The sequence below is a fragment of the Homo sapiens genome, chromosome 12 (assembly GCF_000001405.40).
Source record: "Homo sapiens chromosome 12, GRCh38.p14 Primary Assembly".
NCBI lineage: Eukaryota > Metazoa > Chordata > Mammalia > Primates > Hominidae > Homo > Homo sapiens.
This window is the reverse complement of record NC_000012.12, coordinates 22,243,961-22,270,093: the sequence shown is the minus strand read 5'-3', so window position 1 is coordinate 22,270,093 and position 26,133 is coordinate 22,243,961. Positions and strand designations below refer to the sequence as shown.

Genomic DNA, 26,133 nt, shown 5'->3' with positions numbered 1-26,133 from the left:
TTCAAATTAGGTAATATGCTACAAAATGATTACAACCTAATGAAGTCTCTCTCCTGATATGTCTGAAATACCTATAATAGTGTATAAGGAGATTCCCATTTTGTTTTCCTTGGAAACGGATGGAGACTTACTCAGTTGCTAATTTCTGTAATGTGGTCCAAATTGTTTAAACCTAACAATTCCATATTTAAGGATTTATCTTAAAGAATTAACTGTACAACTGCTCCAGGCTATATGTATCAGATAAGTAACAGCAGGAGGACCTCTATATGGAATGGGTTAGTGATGGTGAACTTGTTAAAAGAGGGTTCTGTCTCTTCAAGACTCCTTTTATGTGAGGTGTTTTACATACAATTAAGCAAACTTTATTGTCCATATAAAAGAAGAGAATACAGTGGGCTGATACTCCCGTTTCTCAGCTACCTTCTTAGCTCTGCCACAATTCAAAGATGTTTATAACAGTATTGTTTATCATAGTGAAAAAATGGGAATAACCTAAAATATTCAACATTAAGGGATTGGTTAAATTATGAATCACCTCTACAGTTAAATACCATGTTGATATTACAATCATGAAGGGAAGGTATCCATAATATCTTGTTAAATAAACATACACATTACAATAGTATTCATATGGGATCACCTGATCCCATTTTGGTTAGAAAACAAGCCATTTAGGATGGGAAGTCCACCCAACAGAGGGCTGAGAAATCACTGCAGGTAATATACAAATATTACTTAATGTTATTTTGAAAAGAAGCAAGGGAGACTTTTAGAAACTTTTGGACTTCTCTTTGTCAGTTAGAATCCTGAATTTTTCACTAACTGCCTTATAAAAAAAAAACAACCCTGTATTTCATTTAAATCTGGCACAGAGAAAAGAGTCTTTCCCAATCTTTGGCTAAAATTCCCTAAAGCATGTATTTTCCTACTGTGTCTTTTGGAATAATTTAAGATATGCACTCTTCTCTAACTGCCTACTCTTGGAATAAATTTATTTATTAAGTCTGCCAGGGCCCTGCCTGGGTCTATAGTAGGATATGCAAATTGGCTACCAGTTAAGATAAATCTGGCCTTCAAATTTTGGCTTTACTTTAAAAAAAAATCATTTGAACTATATGCCAACTTTTAAAAATGAGGAGCTTTTACATTAATACCTGGATTTTTAGTATCACTTGAAAAAAAATCAGAATATCTGGCAGTCCTGGCTCCCATGCCCATGAGTAGGGCATGAGCAGCTTCTTATCCTGCTGCTTTGGTGATATGGTTTTGGTTTGGCTGTGTCCCCACCCAGCTCCCATCTTGAATTGTAGTTCCCATAATCCCCACATGTAAGGGAGGGACCAGGTGGAATGTAATTTAATCATGGGGGTGGTTACCCTCATGCTGTTCTCATGATAGTGAGTGAGTTCTCACGATAGTGAGTGAGTTCTCACGAGATCTGATGGGTTTATAACGGGCTTCCCCCCCTCCCCTCAACTTCGCTCTGCACTTCTTCTCGCTGCTGCCACGTGAGAAAGGATGTGTTTGCTTCCCCTTCTGCCGTGATTGTTTCCTGAGGCCTCCCCCGCCATGCTGAACTGTGAGTCAGTTAAACCTCTTTCTTTATAAATTACCCACTCTCAGGTATGTCTTTATTAGTAGTGTGAAAACAGACTAATACATTTGGCCATGTGCCCTTTGTTTGCCACAGTCTCTAGCACTTCCTATTGCCTTCCTTCCACTCGTTTATGTTACCCGCTTGAATTGTGTAGGCATTTCATTTTGCACCTCTGGTGTGCTAGACTTTAAAATAATCTAAAAAGCTCGTCTGTGGATCATTTAGCAATTTCCTTAACCTTTCTGTCAGTGGTCTGAAAAAGGGAACAGGTTTGCTGCATTTGCTTAGATAGATTCTTGGCATTTCTCCAGAAAGTCTGGGGCTGGATTAAATCAATTAATTAATGAAAACATCTGTATACCTATGTGGTAGGCTCTGGAGACACTAAGAGTTACAAAGACATGGTTTATACCCTTGAGGGGCTTATTCGCTGTTGTGGAAGATGGGTGTACACAACAGTAGCTAGTCAAGTGTTACCCAGTGCTAAGGGCCTAGAATGTCTGCTTAGTGAGACGGACAGTAAGTGCAGTAGGTGTTTCTGTGGGAATGGGCAGGATGTGCATGCCAATCCTGGAAGATGACATAGGTCAGGGAAGGTTCTAGGGAAGGAAGACCTCAGGTCATATCTGAGAGTTGGCAGATCAGGTGGATCACAAACATCACTGTGCATGTGAATTGTATCGTGTAGGGCAACTTCAGATTCCTAAGCTCTACCCAGAGATCCTATTTCTAGAGGGCTGAAGTAGACCAAGAATATGCATCTTTAATATGAATTCCATGTGTCTCTGAAATATGTGAGTTACACTGTGAAAAAAGGGTAGACGATAAGCCAAGCAGGTCAGGAGAAATAAGTAAAGGTAGGAATGTGTGAAGGTAATTTACAGGCTGCAAAACTCAGTTGATTGGATGCTTGTATGCAGAGTCCTGAGAGATAATTAAGGCAGGAATACTGGGAAGAGAAGGATGCTCTGGAAATCACTTATTTTCCTTTTTATCAGTAAGAAAGGATGGCAGATACATTTTATTAAATTGGGGAAATAAAGCATCAGCAGCAGCCAGTTATTCCCAAAAGGAATATTCTCTGCTTGGCTTATTTATCTTTTAATGGAATAAAATAGTTATATATGAGACAATCAATCATGGACATGCTTTTTTTTAAATGAAAATAATAGTTAATTAGCAGGCAATTGATCCTGGTCCTGATAGTTCAGGTGCCTAGTCAGTTAAATTGGATTAACAGTTTAGCAGTCTGCTGCATTACTTACTAAGTAATTGCACACTATTTATAGTTGAAAACAAAATGGATGCCCTAATTGATACCACCTTTTAGTGTAGCAAATACTGAACTGAAGCTCACAGTTTCTGACCCAGCATCTCATACAGTGACTGGTATATGGTTAGTTGGCACTCAATAAATACTTGCCAAATGTTCTTAACTGAAACTTGCTTGGTATTTGTAGTTCTTCATTTCTGAAAAAATGGAGTTGGATTTTATTCATGGTTTTCTACACCATCAAATTCCTTGGGGTGTCTAAGTGTCACTTCCAGAAATAGAGAGACCAAGAAATTGGGGAAGGGTGCCCACTTTACCTCATCTTCTCTTTTGTGTATATGTGTGTGTGTGTGTGTGTGTGTGTGTGTGTGTATACTTTTGTGTATGTGTGTGGGTGTGAGTATGTGTACACACATTTTTTCAAGAGACAGGGTCTCACTCGGTCACCCAGGCTGCAATGCAGTGGCACAATCATAGCTCACTGCAGCCTTCAACTCCTAGGTTCAACAGATCCTCCCACCTCAGCCTCCCGAGTAGCTGGGACTACACGTCCATGCCATGATGCTAGGCTAATTAAAAAATATATATTTTTAGTAGAGACAGAGTTTTACTAGGCTGGTCTCAAACTCCTGGCCTCAAGCAATCCTCCTGCCATAGCCTTCTGAAGTTCTGGGATTATAGATGTGAGCCACCATGCCTGGCCTATATATATATATATTTTTTTTTTAAATAGGGGTTTTCTGGTATAACCTTGTCTGAGAAACAATAAAGGCTTCGATTTTGAAGCAAAGAAAATAACAGTAGCAACAGTAATAAGTTTGGAAGTCTCTGAAGTATTGAATAAATGATTTGTTTCAATTCCACGTGCATTTACCGGCCACTGTGCACAGCTTTAATACATAATCTCATGACTCATGGGGCATAAATGAATTCCGGTGTGCCTCTTGTCTGCTTGAGTTTTTTTTAGCATTCCTTGCACTTGTAGGGAATTTTATTGGACACTGTACCTGCAGACCCTTCATAGATCTTAAGGTTGAAAAATAATTTGGAAGGCAGGTAATAGAGTAGAGAAAGTAAGGAGAAGGGGTGAGGGCGAGCCATTGAAGCAGCTTTAACAGAGGTAGGGAGACAAGAAATTCAGGCTGTGTCTGAGGAAACACAGGTGCGTAAAATGGTGTGGAGGGAATATTGGGTGTATGCATAGATAACCAGCTGGTAGAAAAGAATGAACAGGAAGTTTAGGGTGTTGAGAGGTCCTGGGTGGGTGCTTCAATGAAGATCGGAAGTGTTTTTGTCTGTGGGCAAGGGAAAACATGGTACTTTTTTTTTTATTAGAAAAGTGATTTGCACTAGCTTTTGTTTTAGAAGAATTAGGATATGAGAGTGAAGGATTGATGATAGGCAAGAACTAGAGGCCAATTTACAGCATTAAACCATTTTAAACAATAGTTACAGTGAGAGTGGAAAGAGGAGAAGAACAGAAGAGCCTCTGCAGAGGGAGGTGTTACGTAGATATTAAGAGAGAGGTGAGCAAAAATGGCTCTGAGATTTCTAGGCTGTGTTGCTGAGAAAATGTTGATCTCTTAAAGATAAAAATAACAATTATTGATCATTTACCTTGTGCCAGACATAAGTCATTTAATTCTCACAACAACTGTAAGAAGTCAGTACAGTTGTTACAAGTGAGACAACTAAGGCCCTAAGGTTAAATAACTTGCCAATTGTCATAGGGGAACATTAACAGCAGGGACTGGATGCAGGCAGGCGGGCTACAAGGTGATGCTCATCAACATGAAGATGTGCTTTCTGTATTTGGAGAAAATGAATCTTTCAGTGGTATTTCCAATGAGGGGATTGCAAGTATGACGTCTAGCAATGGCATGAAGCTTAGTACTTCCTGCTGCTGCTTATTCCGTGTTTTGCTCCACTGCTAAGATGATTGGCCCTACCTTTGAAATGTTGGGCCTGCCCTTCGTATTTCCTTCCCTTTCCATCATGAAAAGAAAACAGTTTTGAGGACTTTTAAAATGTGGTCAACCTCTGCCCTGAAGTATAGACACAGTCTTTGTCACCTTATGGTTCAGAAACAACATCAGTAAAAAATTTCAATTCATTGGGACTTGACTATGAAATGTTTAATAAATCTGCTGCATGGGCACATGAACTGATGCCACATGAGTTGTATCCAGAATAACAGATCATATGTGAAACATACAAAACACTTTTTGGAATGCTTTTGTGTTATTTTTTATAATGGATTGAGTAAGAAATTTTAATAGGCAAATAGCATCCACTATATAAATATTCACATCATTCAATTTCCAAAGAAGCATCCTGTGTAGAAAGCATAACACTGAAGCTATCCTTTTAAAATCACAATTTTATTAATAGAATGGGGAATACAAATCTTAGCAGCTTTCTGGAAATTTGTTTTCATATAATTGAAGAACAGTTAAAAGTCCTTGAGTGGTAGGAAACTACAAATATTCTATAATTAACATGTACAAATATATATCTTAAGGGAAAATTATGTGTAACGTTTTTTAAAGGGTTTAATAATTAAGTACCTATAATGAGAAGTTTTTTTTCTCTGAAATAATTGAACTAATTACCAGATATTTTCATCATAAAATGCTTACGTATGCAAAGTAAGAAAACAACTGAAATTTTAATTTGGACTGCCAAGGGGCTAGTTAAATGACTGAAAAAGCCAATACGTGTTAGTTTACTTACTGGAAAGAACCAAAACTGCTTTTGATTTGGCTGCATCTTGTTATTATTTTGTTTGTTTAGCTGGGCACCATGCTCGCTAGGAATTCGCTTGTGGGAATTTGCCAGTCCTTAACTGAAGTAATAAAGTGACTGGGGTACAGGGATAAAGAGATGTTCATGTGAGGAGTATTGTTGGAGAGTTGGGGGCTTGATTGGTGCACTGGTTAGAATGTAATTAGGTCCTGGAGCAGGGCAGTGCAATTAAATATGTTAAGGAGGGCATAATTAGGTGGGAGGCTGAATGATGTAATTACATTCATAAGAGGGGGGCTATAATTAAATATGAGGCAGGGGTGTGTATTTAGATGCCTAAGTTGAGGATATAATTAACATATGGGCAAGAAATTAAATTATGTGTGTGGATGAAGCATAATTGTGTGTGGGAGTCCAGGAGGATACGTGGGTGAGGGTATATAGAAAGAAAAGGGTCGGAATGCAATTAGATGTGTGAGTTGAGTTCTTATGGTCAAAAACTTGAGATTTTCATTAAGAAGGGCAAACATATGTTTTGACATCATGACTGATAGCAGGTGGCATGTAGTGACAGCCTTTCAGACCACTCTGAAGGCTTGCAAAGCAAACTCTGTGCTTTTCCAATATGGTTTGAGACCTGCAGCTAACACTGCTATTGATTCTTCTTGATTGTGGCACTTGGTGCCACAATTCTAAATACTGAGTGTCTGGATAATTTTTCTAGCTTTAAAACACAATTACATGACAAGGAAGACCTGCTCCCCCTTCCTGTCAAAGAGAAAAGAGTTTGGCGGGGATTACTAGGGCAAATAAACACACAAACAAGAACAACAAAACCTTCTTGCCACCAACAACCAAAACACCAATTTTTCTTTATATTGCCAAGTGTGAAAGTAAGCATCACTCTTTTAGCTAAAAGAGTATCACATAAACATAAATGTGTAACAAAATCAACAAAACTTAGTTATGATAGCCTCATTATTTTAAATTTCTAAAACAATACGCTTTCATAAATAATTTTGGCATCCTCCCAACATATAAAAGCAACAAAGCAACAAATGTAGGCTGCAGATAAAAGAGGAACTAGGGAGTGGCAGAAGGGAGCCAGGAGAAGAATGATCACAAGCAAAGTAGGTGAAAAATTACTCAGCGCATCTCAGAAACTAAGCAGTGAAGTATGGTAAGAGTGATCATAATAATCTGATATATCCTATATTAAACTTAAAACACGGAGACTCCTGTTGTCGTCTTCAAAAGCTAGAGAACATTTCGAATATCTGTTCGTTGCTTAGATAATTGTTGAAATTAAACATATTTAATTGGCCAGTAGTCTGCTTAAATTGATTCAATCTAGCACTCAATTCTCATAAATACCAGAGCCTCAGAGCCTCCTCATATCTGTTCAGGCCTTAGGTCAGTTCTGACAGAACTCCACTATTGATAAGATTCCTGGTGAGCTGGTTGCTTCGGGGATTCTGAAGTTTTTAGATTCAAAAAGAATCCGAAAAGGATTCAAGAAATCTATATTTAAGGTTAGTTATTTTTTATAACGTGGAGGTAAGGACATTGCAGCCTGCCCGCAATCTCTTGTTCTGCCCTTTAGTGGTTTTAAAGAACTTCTTTTTAATTCTTAGATTTTGATTTCATACCAATGCATGATGCTGATTTTTAAAATTGTAGACATGCCTCAAAGGCAGCCTCTCACAAAGGCTCTTGTAACTTAATTTGTAATCAGAAGTGCTCTTAATAAAATGTTGTGCATTCCTGTGAAAATTACTGTTGCATCCAATTCTCTATCCACTAAGTGGTTTACATTTTCTTTTTCTCCATGCACTTCCTACTTTTTGCCCTGCCTCCCAGACCAGCTCAGACTCTGCAACAATGAATGATTTATGGTGGTTAACTCATGTGCTTCTAGAGGTCACACAATTATCATTCAAGACATCTAGTTATGTCTGTGGGTTGGAAGATGAGTAGGTGTAAAGTCTCCTTGTGCCAGTGGTGGAGGTCAGTGCCGGCTCTGCTGTTCAGGGTTGGGGGTGGAGTCCCAGCTGGCCAGCTCTTTGTTGCTTTGTGTGGATTGCACAAGGAGAGGAGGAAGAGGTGGGCTTCGGGCTTTGAAAGTGACTCTGGTAAATGATGCTTTGTTAACTTAATTATAAAAACCATTCTGAGATGCTCCAGTACTATTTACATAAGGCACAACAAACAGGGTTTAAATTCTTCAGACTTGAATAGCGTTTTTCCATAAGTCATTTTGTCAGCTAGGAATATGTTTGCAGCTGGCACTTAACAAGTCTTTTCACTCTCATGCATGCTATAAAACACCAAAGATCCTAATTTTTGTTTGTCTTTTTTTCACCTTCCTAATATTATCTAATAGACCAGAAATCTCAACTACTTTCATATGCTTAAAGCTATGGATCTCAGCTTAAATGTTAATTCCTCAGAGAAATTTTTCCTAACCTTATAGCACGCTGCATTTTGCTGTCATGTTTGTTAAATTCTGTTTTTCTATTTAGCGTGTAAGCTGCATGAGTGGGGTATATGTCTATTTTGTCCACCATCACATTTTCAGCATCCATAACAGCTCCTGGCCCATACTAGGTGCTCAATGAAAAGTTGATGAATGAACAGGGAAGTTAGGTATTAGGGCTGTTTGAGAAGAGGCACGAGTGAGGCAGACTGTGGAAAATGAGGATAAGGGGTATCTCAGAAGCAACACACTGGATGGGCTTACTGACCGGTTCATATTTAGAGTGATGGGGCTCACGGTTGTTCTTCAAATTTGGAGATTAATTTATATATTCATTACAATATAAGGAAATGCCATTTTAGGTCCGGAAACTGCTGAGAATGGATTAGATGCTCCAGGAAAATTTTGTGATTAAATAACTAATTATTGAACAATTTGTTGATCATCTCATCTGTACTTAGTCCAGATATGAGGTGTTGAAAAAAAAGATATGATACCTGCAATGATTTCTACACAAATATGTTATTAAAACTCATGGCTTGATAGAAGTTGTATTCATAAGTACACCCTTGGCTGGGCATGGTGGCTCACGCCTGTAATCCCAGCACTTTGGGAGGCCGAGGCAGGCAGATCACCTGAAGTCTGGCCAACATGGTGAAACCCCGTCTCTACTAAAAATACAAAAAAAAGACCCGAGCGTGGTGGCGGGCACCTGTAATCCCAGCTACACGGGAGGCTGAGGCAGGAGAATTGCTTGAACCCAGGAGGCTCAGGTTGCAGTGAGCCAAGATTGCGGCACTGCACTCCAGCCTGGGTGACAGAACAAGACTCTGTCTCAAAACAAACAAATACACCCTCAAAGGACCAATGACAAAAAATATTGATTTGTTCAAAATATATATAAATTAGCTTGGGTAACATGGTGAAACCTCGTGTCTACAAACAAAAAACAAAAATTAGCCAGGCATGGTGGTACATGCCTGTAGCCCCAGCTGTTCTGGTGGCTGAGGCAGGAGGATTGCTTGAGCCCAGGAGGTTGAAGCTGCTGTGAGCCGTGATTGGACCACTGCACTCCAGCCTGGGGGACAGAGTGAAACTGTGTCTCAAAAAAAAAAAAAAAAAAAACAACAACTATATAAATCTTTGAAATTGAAAATATCTCACACAAATATAGACTAAATACTACAGTGGTCTAGCAAAATACTAACTTTCCCCTAAGGAATGCAATTTTGTTAGTACATAATAATGAATTAATATAATATATTTATATGGGACTTCAGAGGTTACTGATAATGGTAAATGCCTCACCTTATTTTAACTCTCGTAATAGTCCTGGAAGATGGAACAAATGGTTTTTTATCATGCCTTGTTTCCAGTGAGGCACTGAGGGGTTGAAGGGCCTGACAAATCTGAATCCAGATGATTCATATAATATGGTCACTAATAAGATGGCCATTAACAGATGGAACAGTTACAGATAAAAAACTCTGGACAAAGATCCGTAGGATGGTTAGTGGCTGAGCAAGAATAGAAAATCTGTGAGGCTGGGCGCGGTGGCTCATGCCTTATCTCAACACTTTAAGACGCTGAGGCGAGCAGACTGCTTGAACCTGAGTTTGAGACCAGCCTGGGCAGCACGGCGAAATCTCGTCTCTACAAAAAATACAAAAAATAGCTGTGTGTGGTGGCATGCACCTATAGTTCCAGCTACTTGGGAAGCTGAGGCAGGAGGATTGCTTGGGCCTGGGAGATCAAGGCTGCAGTGAGCCGTGATGGCACCATTGTACTTCAGCATGGGTGACACAGAACTAGACCCTTTCTAAAAAAAAAAAAAGGAAGAAAAAAGAAAAAAACCCTTGAGCTCATTACTATAGTTAATCTGTCTAATCTATCCTTGCATTTAGAGTAGATTTTTTTAAGGTTAGCAAGAGTGTTATAGTATATTATATTCTCAAATCCAGTAGATTATTTTCTTGCATAGGTACAAGGAGACACATTTGAAAAGACAGTATGCAATGCCTCAATAAAAATATTCTCTGTTAAAATAGTAATATTCATGTGGCAATGGATGACCAAACTTCTTTCTATATAAGTATACTCATAAAGGAAAACATCTTGTTCATACATCATTCTGGAAAACATGGACCATTGCCAAACTGAGAAATTGAGGAGGTATTCTGTGAGTATTAATGAGAGTATTATCTCAATTACTTTAAAAAATCCATAGTATTTTTGGCCGGGCGCGGTGGCTCATGCCTGTAATCCCAGCACTTTGGGAGGCCGAGGCAGGCGGATCACAAGGTCAGGAGATCGAGACCATCCTGGCTAACATGGTGAAACCCCATCTCTACTAAAAATACAAAAAAATTAGCCGGGCATGGTAGCGGGTGCCTGTAGTCCCAGCTACTCGGGAGGCCGAGGCAGGAGAATGGCGTGAACCTGGGAGGCGGAGCTTGCAGTGATCCCAGATCGCGCCACTGCATTCTGGCCTGGGCGAGAGGGAGACTCTGTCTCAAAAAAAAAAAGAAAAAAAAATCCATAGTATTTTCTCAATTAAGTTTTTTTGTCTGTAAAGCTTTGGTGTGCTGTTATTGTTCATTGACGTATTATAAGTGCCCAGAGAGTGCACTCAGGCACTCAGGAAATATTTATTGAAATGAAATGAAATTGCTTGTCAATAAAAAGTCAAAATGGCTTTTTTTAAAAAAACCCCTGGACTTTTGTTTGAGGGCTTTGGGGGGTGGTATTTACTAGTGCATGGATATAATAGCTAAGTTTTCTGTTAATAAAAATTATTACTAATTGTTAAGGTAGTGTGTTAAATTACTGTTTTACCGTGTTCTACAGAAACCGTGAAATCTAGGCATTTCATGGCTTGAACAAGCCAGGGAGACTCTGCTAGAAGGAGGAAAGAAATGAAAAAGGGAAGGAAGATGAGTGGACTTCCATGCCAGTGGCTTGGTTAGATGCTTGACATCCACAAACTCATAGAATTTCATGAAAGCCTGTGTGAGGTTAGACCCCTTCCAGGACAGGAAGCAGAATACAGAGGGGTTTGACAGCCTACCTTCCAATTCCATAGTTCCACAGTTTGGAAGTTAGGAGGTAATGTTTATAACTAGGACTATGTTGCTGCTTCCAAGATCTGTTTGTTTTGCGGCCAGATTCCTGACAGAAAACCTGGAATTGCCAGCCTAATAGGCTCAAGCAAGAACCACTCTTTGACAACAATTAAAGGGATTTTTAGTTGGCTTTTATAGAGCAAACTAAATATTAGTTGAACATGAGTGAACCCAGATTTTTCAAATAAGCTATATGAAAAGAAATATGCAAATGTGCATGTATAACTTACTCAGATCAGGTTTTTGTTCTTATCGCTGAACTAAATCTACCTTTTTCAAGGTCACCAGTGACCTTCCTGTTGCTAAGTTCAGTGGCAATTTTCAGCTGTTGTCTTACTTAATCTATCAATAGCATTTGATGTAATTTTTTTCTTTTCTTCTTTAGACACTTTTTTTTTTTTAACTTGGACAATTCTTAGACCTCTTCTCTTTTCCATCTGCACTCATTCACCATCCAGTCTCCTGACTTTAAATACCCATGCTGATCACTCTCTATTTTCTATCTCCAGGAAAGACCAACTCCCTGACTGCATAGTCATGTATTCACTTCCCTACTTGATATTGCCACCTGGGTATCTAAAGGACATCATGCACTTGACATATTTAAGATTGAACTCCAAATCGTTCCCCAGAAACCTGCTCCTCCTGTAGTCTTCCATATGTTGGTAAATGGCAAGTCTATCTCTACAGTTGTTCAAGGCAGAACTCTTGGCATCATCGCTGATTTCTCTCTTTTTCTCTTGCCCTGTTTTCATTGTATCAGCAAATCCAGGCAGCTCTTTCTCCAGAATATATCCAGCTTCTGGCTACTTCTCACTACCCCAGTGATGGTGATAGGGGTAGTGAGAAGCAGCCAGATTCTGGACATATTCTGGAGTCACCAAAGTGACCAAGAGTCACCAAAATCTCTTATGAAAGACTCCTATCTGGTCTCTCTCTTTCTGCCCATGACATTCTACAGCCTGTTCTCATAGCAGTATAGTGATTGCTCCAAAATATGTCATAATGTCACTCCTTTGCACACCCAACATTGACTTGATTCTCATCTTAGAATAAAAACCTATGTCTTTACAATACCCTATAAGGCCCTGCAGAATGTATTTCCCAACCTCCCTAATAGTCTACTCTCTGATATCCTTCCTACTTCTCCCTCCCTCTTCTGCCTCGCTTCTTCATCTCCAGACACAACAGGCTCTTTGCTCCCCCTTTCCCATCCCAGGAATGTTTTCTCCTTAGGGTCTCTGCACCAGGGGTTCCCGCAGAGATCTGTGAGGCTCACTACCTCATCTCCTGCAGGAATTTGCTCACAAATTGAACTCCTCCCTGATCACCCTATTAAAATTGCAGTTCCTGGGGCCAGGTGCGGTGGCTCGCTCCTGTAATCCCAGCACTTTGGGAGGAAGAGGTAAGCTGATCACCTGAAGTCAGGAGTTTGAGATTAGCCTAGCCAACATGGTGAAACCCTATCTCTACTAAAAAAAAAAAAAAAAAAAAAAAAATTAGCTGGGCATGGTAACGTGTACCTGTAATCCTAGCTACTGAAGAGGCTGAGTCAGGAGAATCGCTTGAATCCCGGAGGTGGGAGTTGCAGTGAGCCGAGATCATGCCACTGTACTCCAGCCTGGGTGACTAAGCGAGACTGTCTCAAAAGAAAATAATAATAATAATAATTGCAGTTCCTCTCTGAAAGCATCTCCTAATCCTTTCATGGCAATGCTTTCTTTCTTTCCAAAGCTCGTGTCACCATCTGACCCACTGCTCATTTTACTCATTTATCTTTACTTATCATCTGTTTTCCACACTAGAATATAACCTCTGGGAACAGAAATTTTTACTTATGTCCTTGTCACCCAGGGCAGTGCCTGACGCATAGTAGGCACTTTGTAAATACTTGTGGAATAAACAAACAGCTACTTTGAATGTAAGTATTTAAATCTTCATCTGACAAATTATAGCTCTAACTGATGTTTTTCTAGTGTTGATTCCAAGCCCTCTGTTTCTTGCCCGTCTCTTCTCTCTGGATCTGTTCTGATGTTTGTTGGGCTGGTCTCTGGTGTAGTAATGCAGGAAATTCTTAACTCTCTGCTGGCAAATGCTTAGACATTACACTTTAAGTACTGTATTTTTATCAACAATATTTCCATAGCTCTGGCTGTTCCTTTGACAACTAGAAATCAAAGGAATAAAATCCTCTTCTTATGCTGCATTAAGTGGCCACCTCAGTTACCAATGAATACAGAAACTCCTGGAATTTTATTTCTGGTTTAACTACTTCCTGCCTATATGAGGCCCTTACAGTGTATATTCATATACTTATTGGATTTGTTCTTTTGGAATAACCCATATTATTTGCTTGAGATTCATGTAGGGTGGTTATTTTTGATGCCAGTTGTGTATATGAAAGGTCTTTCCCTAAAGAACTCCAGCTGCTCTGCGTCGTTTCAGCAAGCAGGAAATTCTGTACCTGGCAGTTCTTGCTGACCCAGCTAGAAGTGGCCGAATGACGCATTTCACTTTCAGGGGCTATTGCTGGGTTTTCATATTCATACTATAAATAGCACTTCAGGGAACACTCAGATACACTGAACATTTTCTTTACAGTCCAGTTCAGTGTTGGCAGAAAGAAAGTCACATGCTGTGTGGTTCTACACAAGTCACTTGCCCCTTAGTGGGTCCTAAGCTCTAGACAGACCCACCCAGAGTGTTCATTTGCTCATAAACACAGCATCACTCTCAGCAAATACTTCTGTGTCGTTGTTTACGCTGCTTTCTGTGCCTGGAGGAATCATACGTATTCTTTAAGGTTCATCCCAAGTGAGAAAGCTTTCCCCGAGTTGGCTCAGCAGAAATGCCTTCTTCCTCCTTGTGGATTGCCCCATAGCATTCAGTGTGCATCTCTTTGGCAGCAACTTCAGCATTATAATAGAGTTTGTTACCTAGGTATATGTTTTCACACTCTCATCATCCCTTTCTCTCCTCACATCCCAAATTGTGAACCCTCAGGCCTGTGACTTCTGTCCACATGTATCTCTCCCCAACAGTTAGCAAAGGAAATGTTCAGAAACATTTATCAAGTGAATGGCTGATTGTATGAATGAATGAGATTGCAATCACATAGGAGAATGGAGCTCATTTGTTTCCAGCTTAATGGCTTTAAAAATAATCCTGTGTTTACTTTGTATTTTTTTTTTAATTTTCCCTAGCAAACACCTTCTACTATGTGCATGGCCAATTGGAGAGGAAAAAAATAAATGTTGTTATATTTAAATGCACTTCAGGGAGGCTTTTTAAAAATTTTGCTTTTTAAATTTCAAGGCAACAGACTAGTTTGTTCCTTACAAACTTCTTGGCATCTTTCTTTTCACATGCTCTTTTTTGCTGGACTCAGTCTTCAGTCAAATTCCTCCAAAGGGTCTGCTGTAAACAATGATTTTGTGAGCGGTTGTGTGTTCTTTGCAGTGAAAACCCGCCTTGTTTTCTGTTGCTAGGCAACCCCATTCCAGCTGCCATTGAAGAAATGCGCGGTGGTGGGAAATGGTGGGATTCTGAAGAAGAGTGGCTGTGGCCGTCAAATAGATGAAGCAAATTTTGTCATGCGGTAAGAGAGAGCACCCACAGCGCGGCCTCTGCCTTCTCTCCTTTTCCCCACCCCTCCCATAAGCCCTGGGGCTTTTCAAAACTAGTCACTTGTGATGAATCAGTTGTAGCACGCTCCTTAGCTTCACTTCCAGCTCATAGACAAGCGAGTTTAGGAGAGGGGTAAGGGGAGCGAGGGAACATGCCCCGAGAAAGGACAAAGCCAAGAAGGCTCAGGCGGAACAGAGATACCCACTCTGCTGTGAATAAAGGGAGCAGGGGAAAGTGGAAAATCTCACATCTCATTTTAGATTGTACAGTCAGGTGATTTTGGCTTTTTAAATTGTTCTTTTCCTTAAGGACCACTCTCTATGAATAAATGCTTTAATGGATTCATTTTATTCTATACCTTATTCTTCTTAGTTTTTGATCAAATCATGTGTAAGTAGCAAGTGGGATCTGAAGACGGATTAAATCTTTGAGTGAGTGGGAAAACGGGAACAAAGGAGCAGGGGTAAATTTCAAACGAGGGGACGCTTGGTAAAGGGACTGAGCAGAGTGGTGATGTGCACGTCAGTTCCAGGAAAAACAGGAGGCCCCTGCGGGAGCATGAAAAGGAATTGCTGAGACATATTCAGCCAGGGACAGAGACTGCCAAATTGTAGGGGCAGCAGCCTGCACTGCTGGGTGATTCTGCCCAGACATGCTTACCAGCCACGTATAGAAGGAGAGACAGCAAGTGATTGGATAAGGACAGGTTTGGGATTATCTGGGTGAGAGGGAAGAAGGACAAAGAGTGACAACTTGGAGGGCTCTGGCTAGAGAGGGTGTAAAGTAACACACCTTGAAATCAGGGCTGGGCAGGAAGAGCGCTCTGAGATGAGTGAAGGAGAAAGGATGGGGTCAGATGATGGGGTCATTCAGAGCAGGGGTGAGGTAAGTTGTGGCTCCTGGCTATGAATGAAGGAGACGTGGAATAAGAAGAAGCTAAAGTCAAAGAATGGCTTTCTGGAGGGCAAGATTTCAGAGCTCAGGGTATCTCGGGGATGAGTGGACATGTTGTAGAAAAAGAAAACATTTGTTATGGAGCAAATAAAGGAGCCTTGAGGATAGACTCTGAGGGACCTTTCAGGTGGACCCTGAAGCCTCACTGAGGTGGAAATGACTATGAACCAAGTGCCAGCAGACTCTGTGGCCAGGAAGGGTGAAGACTGCAGCAACATCAAGGACAGAAAGCTGAGCGAGATTTTGTATTCCTGTTTATTTTTAAGTATAAACGAGTAACAGTCTAGGAGTGGAAAAAAGGTAGCCAAGAAGATGCTAAGTCACCTCTGAGCCCTGAGCTAAGTGGGAGAGGGAAGAGTAAAAACTTTATTTGAGAGAGTTTCAAGAGAAGCCATGTACTTGTGGGGGCTAAGTTCCCTCTCAGAGTTGGTCTCCTTGAAAGACATTTTTTTTTCTCACTTGGTGAAGCCTGCAGGAGAGTCTAGATCCTTCTATACCCACCTTTCCTTCATGCAGGTACCCTCAGCATAGTTTTTCCTCTGTATTGCAGTTTTTCTTTTCAACGTGAACAAACAACAGAAAAGTGGAAAAAGTACAAATGTAGTTCTTTTAGTTCCAGTCAATGCAACACCTGCTCATTGAGCACCCATGACATATGGGCCTTGAGCTGGCTCTGGGAATGGTGCGTTGAACAATTCTATAGTGGATTTATATCCTAGAGATGTGTTTGCTACCGTGGGGGAATTCAGACACACGGGAGCTTCTCAAGAGAAGTGGCGTGTGAGCTGAGTCTTCTCTTCGTTTCACCCTAAGCAGAGAAACAACCTTTCCCAAGAGTCCAAGGTGGGAAAGATAGCAAGTGCTGTTGCAGTGTCATGAACAGTGGGGAAAATGGCTTGAGATGGAGCCAGAGAGGTATTGAAGGCATTGGAGTGGAGAAAATCACCTAGAGAGCATGAATAGGTGAGAAGAGCAGGGAGTCCTGAACCACCTTCAGGCACCCTCTCCAGTACTTTGGCATTAGGTGAGGCTGAAGAGCCAGCAAAGAACACAGCGAGATAGGAGACAAGTCCTTGCTGTTGTTGACTAGGTCTGTGACCTACAGTGCATTATTTTACCCTTGCTGGGGCCCAGCTTTCTAATTTGTAGGAGGAAGCGGGAGTAGGCAATTCCTCAGGCCCTTCCCATTGTGGCAACTCTTACTCTATCTATGACTGTATGAATACCGTATCATTGTAACACCGTTTATGTAGTTTAGTTTAAATTTTCAAATTGCTCTTGAGTATTATTAGTTTTTGTGCTCTTCCCAAAAATTATGTAAGGAAGAAGGAATACGTAGTATTCAACTCACAGATTCAAAGAAGTGATTTCAAGTGGCCTTGATACACGTAGAAATGTAAATACACTTCGTGCAGTACAATAAGTGTATTTTTGTATTCATGAGTGTGTATGTGTGTGTGTCATCCATTTGTGAAGATGGACGTTTACTAATGTGTAGAAGACTAGGCTTAGGCACCATAGAATGTTATCTATTGTTTCCAGTGGGCCATATTTATCACAAGTAAACAAGACTTTTTTAGCCTTATATGCAATCTGGTGTTGATATAGTCAAGTTCAGAATTAATGAACGCTTCTGATTAGAGTGCCTGGCACAGTATTAAGCATAATGTTTCTAAAATATGGGGAGATGAGGGTTGAAAGAACTCAAAGAAGGTAGCACCATAACTAGAACTATGTATGCGTATGCCTTTGATTTAATTTCAAGAATAGTTCTGTTTTATGACACATTTTAATGTTTAAAAGCCTTATGTATGTTTTAAATTATAGGAGTAATAAAAGTTGATAAATTATTTCAAAATTATTTGACCATTTGCAGATCTATTAATAAATCATTGCTTAATATGCATTTTGGGGCATGCTTAATGTATCGAGATATTATATATTCAAAATTAAACATTTAATGAATAAACGTAGATTAGAAAGCATGTCGTATGTCTGGTCCTAGACTGTAGGGTGTGTAATGGACAGATACAGTGAGAGAGAACATCCAAAAATAGCACTGCCTGTACACAGTGATATACCAGATTACAGTTCAAAGTGTCTTCTAGGACTAGGATATAATAATTTCATAATTTTCTTTGCTTAAATGTTTTCAAACACATCTTCTAGTGCTGAAAATCAATTTCCCATTTCTCAAAGTAAACATTTGCTCTGTAGCCAAAAGCAGTACTTTAAAAAATAATATCATTGAATTCAATTTATTGGGAAGATTTGCCAGACAAAAGTTAACAGGGATTGCATCCTCAAAAGGAACTGGTTGGCTTGGGGACATGAATGAGGGAACATAATTTTGGTGCCTTTTGAATTATGCTCAAATGTATGTTTTGCCTGCTCACATATACAAAAAAATTAAAGTAATTTCATGATTTTTCTGCTTTAAGATTTCTTTCTCTCAAGCCCATTTCCCACTTACTTCCACATCCCAATTCAAAGAATATTCACTTCTCATTAATTCTCTGATCAGATCTCTTTTAGGATCATGAGCACAGTTGCTAAGACACTTTAGTCATTAATATTTGTTAATTGTGCCAACAGCGATAATGCAAACTTTGAAACATTTTACACCACAATTATGCCTTATTAAAACAATTTGACTGTATTAAATGTGCCTTTTGTGTACATCTTTGTAATTATCAATTTATGAGTTGAGGAACTAAAATTATTGGTGTGCTTTTCCTGAGAGAAGAGATACAGGAAAGTGTCACAGATATTTGCACTTAGAGAAAAAGTTTACCCAGAAGAACTTACACCAAAATGTATTGTCATTATTTTCTGGAAATACATCAAAATTCATATAAAATGTTATCTTCATGGTTTTAAGCATTCACCTCTGTTCTAGAAGATAATAAATACCTGCAAGTTTTTATTGGGCTATTACTCTGTGGCAGTAAATATGAAAAGACCCAGACACATGAGCCATGGAACACACAGGAAAACAAAGTATTTACTCATGAAAACCAGTTTGTTTAATAATGACAAAACATGTTGACAGTACTCTCCAGCAATACTCAGAATTTACAGTTTTAGCGTAACATAGCTGATTCTCACCTGCTTCCAAGGGCAATTAAGATCAAAGCTTCTTTAAGAGATAAGTATCCAAATTTTAGTCTGTGTTTTATCCTGGAAGTCATCTTCCTCTTTGCAAAGATCAATTAAATCACAAGACCACAATCAGTTACCACAGCCGGATGAGCCTGGCTGTTAATGCATAAACTCACTCCCTCATGAGAATCCTCAGGAAACCACATGGGATATGGGGCAACCACTTGACTGTGGATACTTCAAGAGTAGGTTCTCTGACTTGGGCTCCACCCCCAAGGCCCCCATAATGCCCACTGTGTTTGCTTTCAGTGGGCATTCAGCAAAAGCCACTGACTGGTTAACTGACCTGTTGGTAGCTACCAGAAAAACCAGTATCTTATCACCGAAGAGCAGATAAAAAGAAGATTCTAAATCAACTGAGACAAGTTTCTGCCTAGGATGCCTTGATGTGTTGATACTCACAGGGTAAATAAGAGACAAAATCAGAGAACTTGAGCTGATCAGCTGAGTGGGTGCCTGGATACTGAGGGTAATTTGTAGGGAAAATTTAGTAGTTGGGGAACTAGCAGAGACTGCAATATTTGTAAGATATCTTTACCTACAAGTAAATGATGCTTTGGTTTACTGAAGTAATAAAAAGTTACAGATGCCCTAATGTGGTAGGAATCAAGTTAGACATATGGTTGAAGAGGAGAAATGAGGACTCAGTAATAAAAGAAAGCATAATGGAAACTATAGGCGCATTTGGCATTTTCATAGATAATAAATACATATTTAATTATTTTTGTATGCTATTTCTGACCTGTGATATTTTTGAATATTTACTAAGTGTACACATCAAGGTTGGGGAATTTTTATATTACATACCTTTTTTAGTCCTTAACAACAATTCAAGAAAAGAGGAAAAATCATTATCCTCATTTTGTATAATGGAGAAACTGAAGTCAGGCAAATGAATTAACTTGCCTAATGTTCCACAGGCAGAAAGCCATGGGATTTGAATTCGCAGTGGTCATATTTCCCATTGTAAGCATTCATAAGACATGGTGGCCAAGGAGAGCAACTGGGGCAGGGTGGGGTTTTGGGAGTGGGAGTGGGGTGGCTGTTCCCATCACCAGGGAAACATCACCTGTACTCTTTCCTTTGGCTGAACTGGGATGGTGGATCACTGCATTTCTTTGGATGATGAGCCATTATACCTTCACCAGTAATCAGCCTACCCATTGGCCACACACACACAAGTCAGACATGCTGTGATTTAAGTGAATAGTACATGGCCCTGAATGCACTCTTATAATTTTGATTTTGGAAAAAGAAAAACACAAGAAAATATATTAATTCCTCCTTGTCTTTTGAGATTTATGGGTGTGCAGAGGTACTGTAGGTCCCATGTCCTCTAGTGTATCACACTGTCCTGAGCTTTAATTCAGGTCTAAGAATGTCTGTCCTACCCTCTCAAAAATATTTTGAATGGAATAAATACCTCCTAGTTACTGTCTCTTTCTTTTTGTAGATAATTTGCCCCTTTGGCTGACATTATCTTTCTTACTAAACAGGAGTAGTTTTTATGACAGCATTTGGAAGATGCTGATAGTTAATTATTCATCCAATGTCTATTAAAAGGGAGAGGTGGTAAAAAACAAAACAAAACAAAACAAAACAAAAAACAGTTACTGGCTGGGTGCAGTGGCTCACGCCTGTAATCCCAGTACTTTGGGAGGCCAAGGCGGGCAGATCACAAGGTCAGGAGATCGAGACCGTCCTGGATAACACGGTGAAACTCCGTCTCTACTAAAAATACAAAAAAAATTAGCCGGGTGTGGTGGCAGGTGCCTGTAGTCCCAGCTACTCGGGAGGCTGAGGCAGGAGAATGGCGTGAACCCGGCAGGTGGAGCTTGCAGTGAGCGGAGATCACACCACTGTACTCCAGCCTGGGCAACAGAGCGAGACTCCATCTCAAAAAAAAAAAAAAAACAAAAAACAAAACAGTTACTCGTGAATTCAGCTAGAATTAATAACATTTCTATTTGTATTATTCTAACTGATGATTTAAAACTATGCAAATTGTTCCAAAATGTTTGTTCTTGTTTCTCTAGATGCAATCTCCCTCCTTTGTCAAGTGAATACACTAAGGATGTTGGATCCAAAAGTCAGTTAGTGACAGCTAATCCCAGCATAATTCGGCAAAGGTAAGAGTTTATGACTTCTGTTTGTGACGAACGAAGATGAAGTCTTCTCAAGTACTTAGCATTTCAAAGGCAGTGAGCATAATTCAGTTTGGGAAATCAAGAGGAAAACCATCTGGACAGGCAGGAAGGATGAAGGGAATTGTAAATAAAGAAAACAGGATTATGGGAATCCAAACAATATTTTATGCTTCCTCTGGGATTCTGTTTCTTGCCTTTAGAGATGATAGAAATAACAAGAAGATCAATTGTTTTGCTCAAAGAACAGCACAATACTCTGTTTACTCATTACTGCTACTTTTCAATTTGTTGGCTTCAGTCCCAATTTATTGATTGGCAACTGTGAACTGAATTAATATCAAGAATAAAAACAAAGCAATGGCCAATCCATTACATTGCTTTGGCCAATTCATACATGCATTAAAATAGCAATATTGTCAGAATGGACAAGAATATGTGGTTATAGTATACTGTATTACATTACATTATATTATATTCAATCATATTTGGGAGAGCAGATGTAAAATTCTTGTTCTAGGATCAATTCCAGAAATCTTGAAATTGCCTGGAATCTTGGAAGCTGCTGTGGGAGCTGCGGGGGTGGGGGAGGGGGTCAGTCTCTAATTGATGAAGTGCATCAGCGAGCTATCAGCTGTTTCTCCAAGGACTGTTCATTGTAGAGAAGGAGTCCGTCTCCAAGGAAAGAGGAATCAAGCATTGCTTTAGGTCCTCCTGTGTCCCTGGCAATTAGGAGGGAAACATCCAGATGTTCTGGGCCCAGGCGCTTGTCATCTAAGTCCCGTCCAAGTGATCAGCATGTGTGTTCACTTATTCACAACGTGGCACTACTTGTTTTGGTTCATAAGTATTCCCATAAAATAGATATCTAGAAATGCAATCAGCTTTTAATTTTGGGAGATATTGTTAAATTACCCTCCCCAAATGTACCATTTATCTTCAATAATGGATAAGACTGCTTGTTACCCATATGTAAAACAATACTATTTGTGGAAAAAAAGGATACATTATATTCTACTTAATTTGCATTTTTCTGAATATAATAAGAGCTGAGTGGTATTGACTATTAGTATTTTTTCTTCTGCTCCTTTGTATTTTTTGCCTACTTTCGACTTGCTTTAAAAAATATTTTTCTATTGATTTATAGGAACTCTATATTATGGATATTAAGTCTTTGTATCAAATATTTTATTCTAGCCTGTCACATATATTTTAATTTATATTCTATTGCAATTTAAAATTTTTTATGCGATGAGACTTGTTAGTATTTTCCTTTATGGCTTCTTTTATAAAAACAATCTTTCTTTGGATGATCTTTCTTACTCTGATGCTCCTCCCTTCCCTGAAAAAAATATCCTGAATGTTTCTAATGCATTTATAGTATATATTTAGAAATGTAATCCATGTAAATGTATTTATTTTTGTTCTTATAAGAGTAATTTTATTATTTTTCAACACAAATGTATGTTCATTATAATAACTCAAACAGAAAAGTACAAAGAAGAAATAAGAGAACACTTACAAGAAATTTTTTTATTAAAACAATTTATTTTTAAATACCTGTAGATTCACAGAAAATTGCAAAAAACAATTTACAAGAAGGCTCTACATAATCTTTACCCAGTTTCCCCCAAAGGTGACATCTTTGACTATTATTTTGATTTAGGAATAAAATAACTTTTAAGAAGGAACACATGTTCCTTTGGAGGGAAATGAAACATTCAATATTGTATTGAGGACCAGAAGATTCTGTTTTTCTACCTGAATATGTGGAGTTGATGTAAGATTTAAAAAGGAATGTGAAAAAGAATGTTCAGAGCAAGATTTAGAACAAGCTGAGGGAGAGAGGGAGGGAAGGAAATGAGGGAGGGAGGGAAAGAGACGAGGGAGGGAGGGAAGGAGATGAGGGAGGGAGGGAGGGAGAGACTGTTTTGGGGGAAAAAATATAAATACAAATGGAGGAAGGACAGGGTCAAAAATTAAATTTTGAAGAGGAAAGTAGAACTGTTGGTTAAGACTTAAGCTCACTATGAAGAAAACACGCATGGACAAGCAAGAATCATTATTACTAACATTGGTAAGTATTTAGTTGACATTGCTGTGTGCCAGGTTCTGTGCCCTTTATAGGCAGTTCCTCACTTCATCCTTGAAACAATCCTAATAGACAGAAGCTATTTTAATTTATGCATTTGACAGAAGAAGAAACCTGTGATGTGGTGAATCTAGGAACCTGCTCATGCACACAGCTGCTAATAATCGCCTGGGACTTCACCAGGCCTCTCTTATTCCAAAGCCCGTGCTCTCAACCAGTGACCATCTCTGAGAGAAAAAAAAAACCCAAACTGCTTTTTCCTCTGTTCTCACACTACAACACAGAAGACTGTGACAAAGAACCAGGGTTGGGGGGTCTGGCTCTTTCCAGTGACCGGTCCCCGGCCCCCACCCTGAAGCTGCATAAGGCCTCAATCAACTCATTAACATGCAAAAAGATAGCACTGTGGAGTTTCTAAAGATTTTAGGCATTGTACGCTACGGAATGAGATCGAAGATCTCAAATATCTATTTCATAATATTGCACCATCACACCCTCTGATCTTTTTCCAAAATCCATGTGTCGCACAAGGAGACAATATAGTTTTCCCAGAATAATCAACATAGAAAACTTCTGCCACCAAGTGTGTTTGTGTTTTTCCCCCACACACCAAGCAAGCAATCAATTCTGCAGCAGACACCAGCGGGGTATCTCCAACTCAATTCCAACACTATCTACAGATAGTGTCAGATCCCACAGATTGAGGGCTCAGTCCCACAAGACTACCCCCCACCCCCACCAGTCACAAGTCTAGGCCTCCGGAGCTTCTGACTGACTGGCTTCAAGTTGGGGTTCCCCCAACTCTCTTTATGGGTTTGATTAATTTGCTAGGGCAGCTCACAGAACTCAAGGAAACGCTTATTTACGTTTACTGGTTTATTATGTTACAAAGGATTCAGATGAAGGAGTGTGTAGGATGAGGGATGGGGGAAGGGACATGGAGCTTCCATGCCCTCCCTGGGCACACCACCCCCCAGAAACCTCCACCTTCTTATCTGGAAGCTCTCCAAGCCCTGTCCTTTCAGGTTTTTATGGAGGCTTCATTAGCAGGCGTGATTGATGAAACCATTAACCACTGGTGATCAACTTAACCTGTAACCCTTTTCTCCTCCCCAGAGGTCAGGGAGTGGGGCTGAAGTCCCAGTCCTAGAATCCTGCCTTGATTCTTTGCAGTGACCAGCCCCCCACTCTGAAGCTGCATAGGGCTGCCAGCCGTCAGTCAACTCCTTAAGATGCAAAAAGGTATCACTGGGAGTTGCTAAAGATTTTAGGAGTTACGAAGTCGAAGATCAAATATATATTTCACAACATTACACTATCACACCTTCTGATCTTTCTCCATGATTCATGTGTTGCACAAGGAGACAGTAGCATTTTCACAGGTTATAAATAATTTTGTAAAAGTGAATGAAAGTTTCTTCATTTTAAAAAATGTATTCAATGTAACAAGGTTTCTGTTCAAATCAATATGTGTACACCAATTCCATTTTGTGACATAAGAAAAAATTACATTTACAATAGCATCAAATAATATGATACACTTAATTAAACAAGAAAGCAAGTCCTCTTTGGAAAAAATATGAAATTTTATTGAGAGACACTTTAGACAACCTGATTAGATGTACTATAATACCATGTGCATGATTGAAAGACTCAGTATTTAAAGGCACCAGGTCTACCCAAATCTATCTACAGATTCATTGAAATTCCAATAGAAATCCTAATGATGCATGCATGTGTATGTGTGTGTTAAACTTAAAAAGTTATGTAGAAATATGCCGAGAATAGCAAAGAAGCTCTTGAAGAAAAAATGATGGGCAGAGTTGCTCTATAAGATGTTAAGACTTATTAAAAAGCTATTATAATTAAGACAATGTGGCTCTGGTGCAAGGATAAACCAACTGAGCAGTGAAAGAGAATAGGCTACTCCCAAATATTTCCACATAGATATAAACCAGTATATATGACAGATGTCATATTTATATGAGTGATATAAATATGAAGAGCCGAGAATAGCAAAGAAGTATAAACTTTTCAAAATGATGTTGGGATAATTAGATTACACATGGGAAAAAAATAAATTAAACCTCTACCTCATAACTTATACCAAAAATTATTTTCAGGTGGTTAAGACCTAAAAATGAAGTTGCTGGGCCTGGTGGCTCACGCCTGTAATCTCAGCACTTTGGGAGGCCGAGGCTGGTGGACTGGCTGAGGAGTTGAGACCAGTCCGGACAACATGGCAAAACCTCGTCTCTACCAAAAAATACAAAAGTTAGCCAGGTATGGTGGCACGTGGCTGTAGTCCCAGCTACTTGGGAGGCTGAGGCAGGAGAATTGCTTGAGTACAGGAGGTCGAGGCTGCAGTGAGCCATGTTTGTGCCACTGAACCGAAGTCTGTCGAGTGAGACAGTAAAATAATAATAATTATTTAAAATAAAAAATAAAACCAACTAACAATATGGCTAGGGACAAAGATGTAGCAAGTAAAACTATAAGGAACAATAAGTAGTCACTTCTCAGGGTAGGAAGAGTATTGGTTCAGGTGTGGAATAATGGGACCTCTGGATTGCTAGAAGTGTTCTTTTTCTTGGCCAGGCTGGTGTAACATGGATATACACTTTATAATGATTGCTTAGGCTGCACATGTATGTTAGATGCACTCTTCAATAGATATACTTTACTAAAAACATAAGAAAAGAGTATGCTAAGTGATGGAGGACTATACAACTTATAGTTAATTTTAAAGGTTCTCAGTTTGCTTTTTTGACATAATTGAGTTCGAGACGTATACTAGAGTGTAAGTTCTATATAAAAAGGATCTCAGTGTCTTGAACATAAGGATTGATAAAAACATTTTTTTTTTTTGAGACAGAATTTCATTCTTGTTGCCCGGACTGGAGTACAGTGGTGCGATCTTGGCTCACTGCAACCTCTG

At 39.4% G+C, this 26,133-nt stretch overlaps 1 protein-coding gene across 2 annotated transcripts in view, besides 1 other annotated feature; it reads left to right on the top strand.

Moving 5' to 3' along the window:
* Positions 1 to 26,133, top strand: part of ST8SIA1 (ST8 alpha-N-acetyl-neuraminide alpha-2,8-sialyltransferase 1) — a 141,317-nt gene that overhangs the window by 64,614 nt on the left and 50,570 nt on the right. Inside the window, exons 3-4 of one of the 2 annotated variants that reach the window (NM_003034.4) lie at positions 14,705 to 14,814; positions 20,996 to 21,088. In NM_003034.4, coding sequence (NP_003025.1) covers positions 14,705 to 14,814; positions 20,996 to 21,088 — 203 coding nt within the window. The remainder of the gene's footprint in view (positions 1 to 14,704; positions 14,815 to 20,995; positions 21,089 to 26,133) is intronic. The other variant, NM_001304450.2, reaches the window with a different exon arrangement.
* Positions 33 to 202: an enhancer, noted in NCBI's record as "experimental_26564 CRE fragment used in MPRA reporter constructs". NCBI's record gives its function as "activates a minimal promoter by MPRAs in K562 erythroleukemia cells, with activity observed for the introgressed 12:22422911 variant allele {active_cell/tissue: K562}" and the evidence as "EXISTENCE:reporter gene assay evidence [ECO:0000049][PMID:34662402]".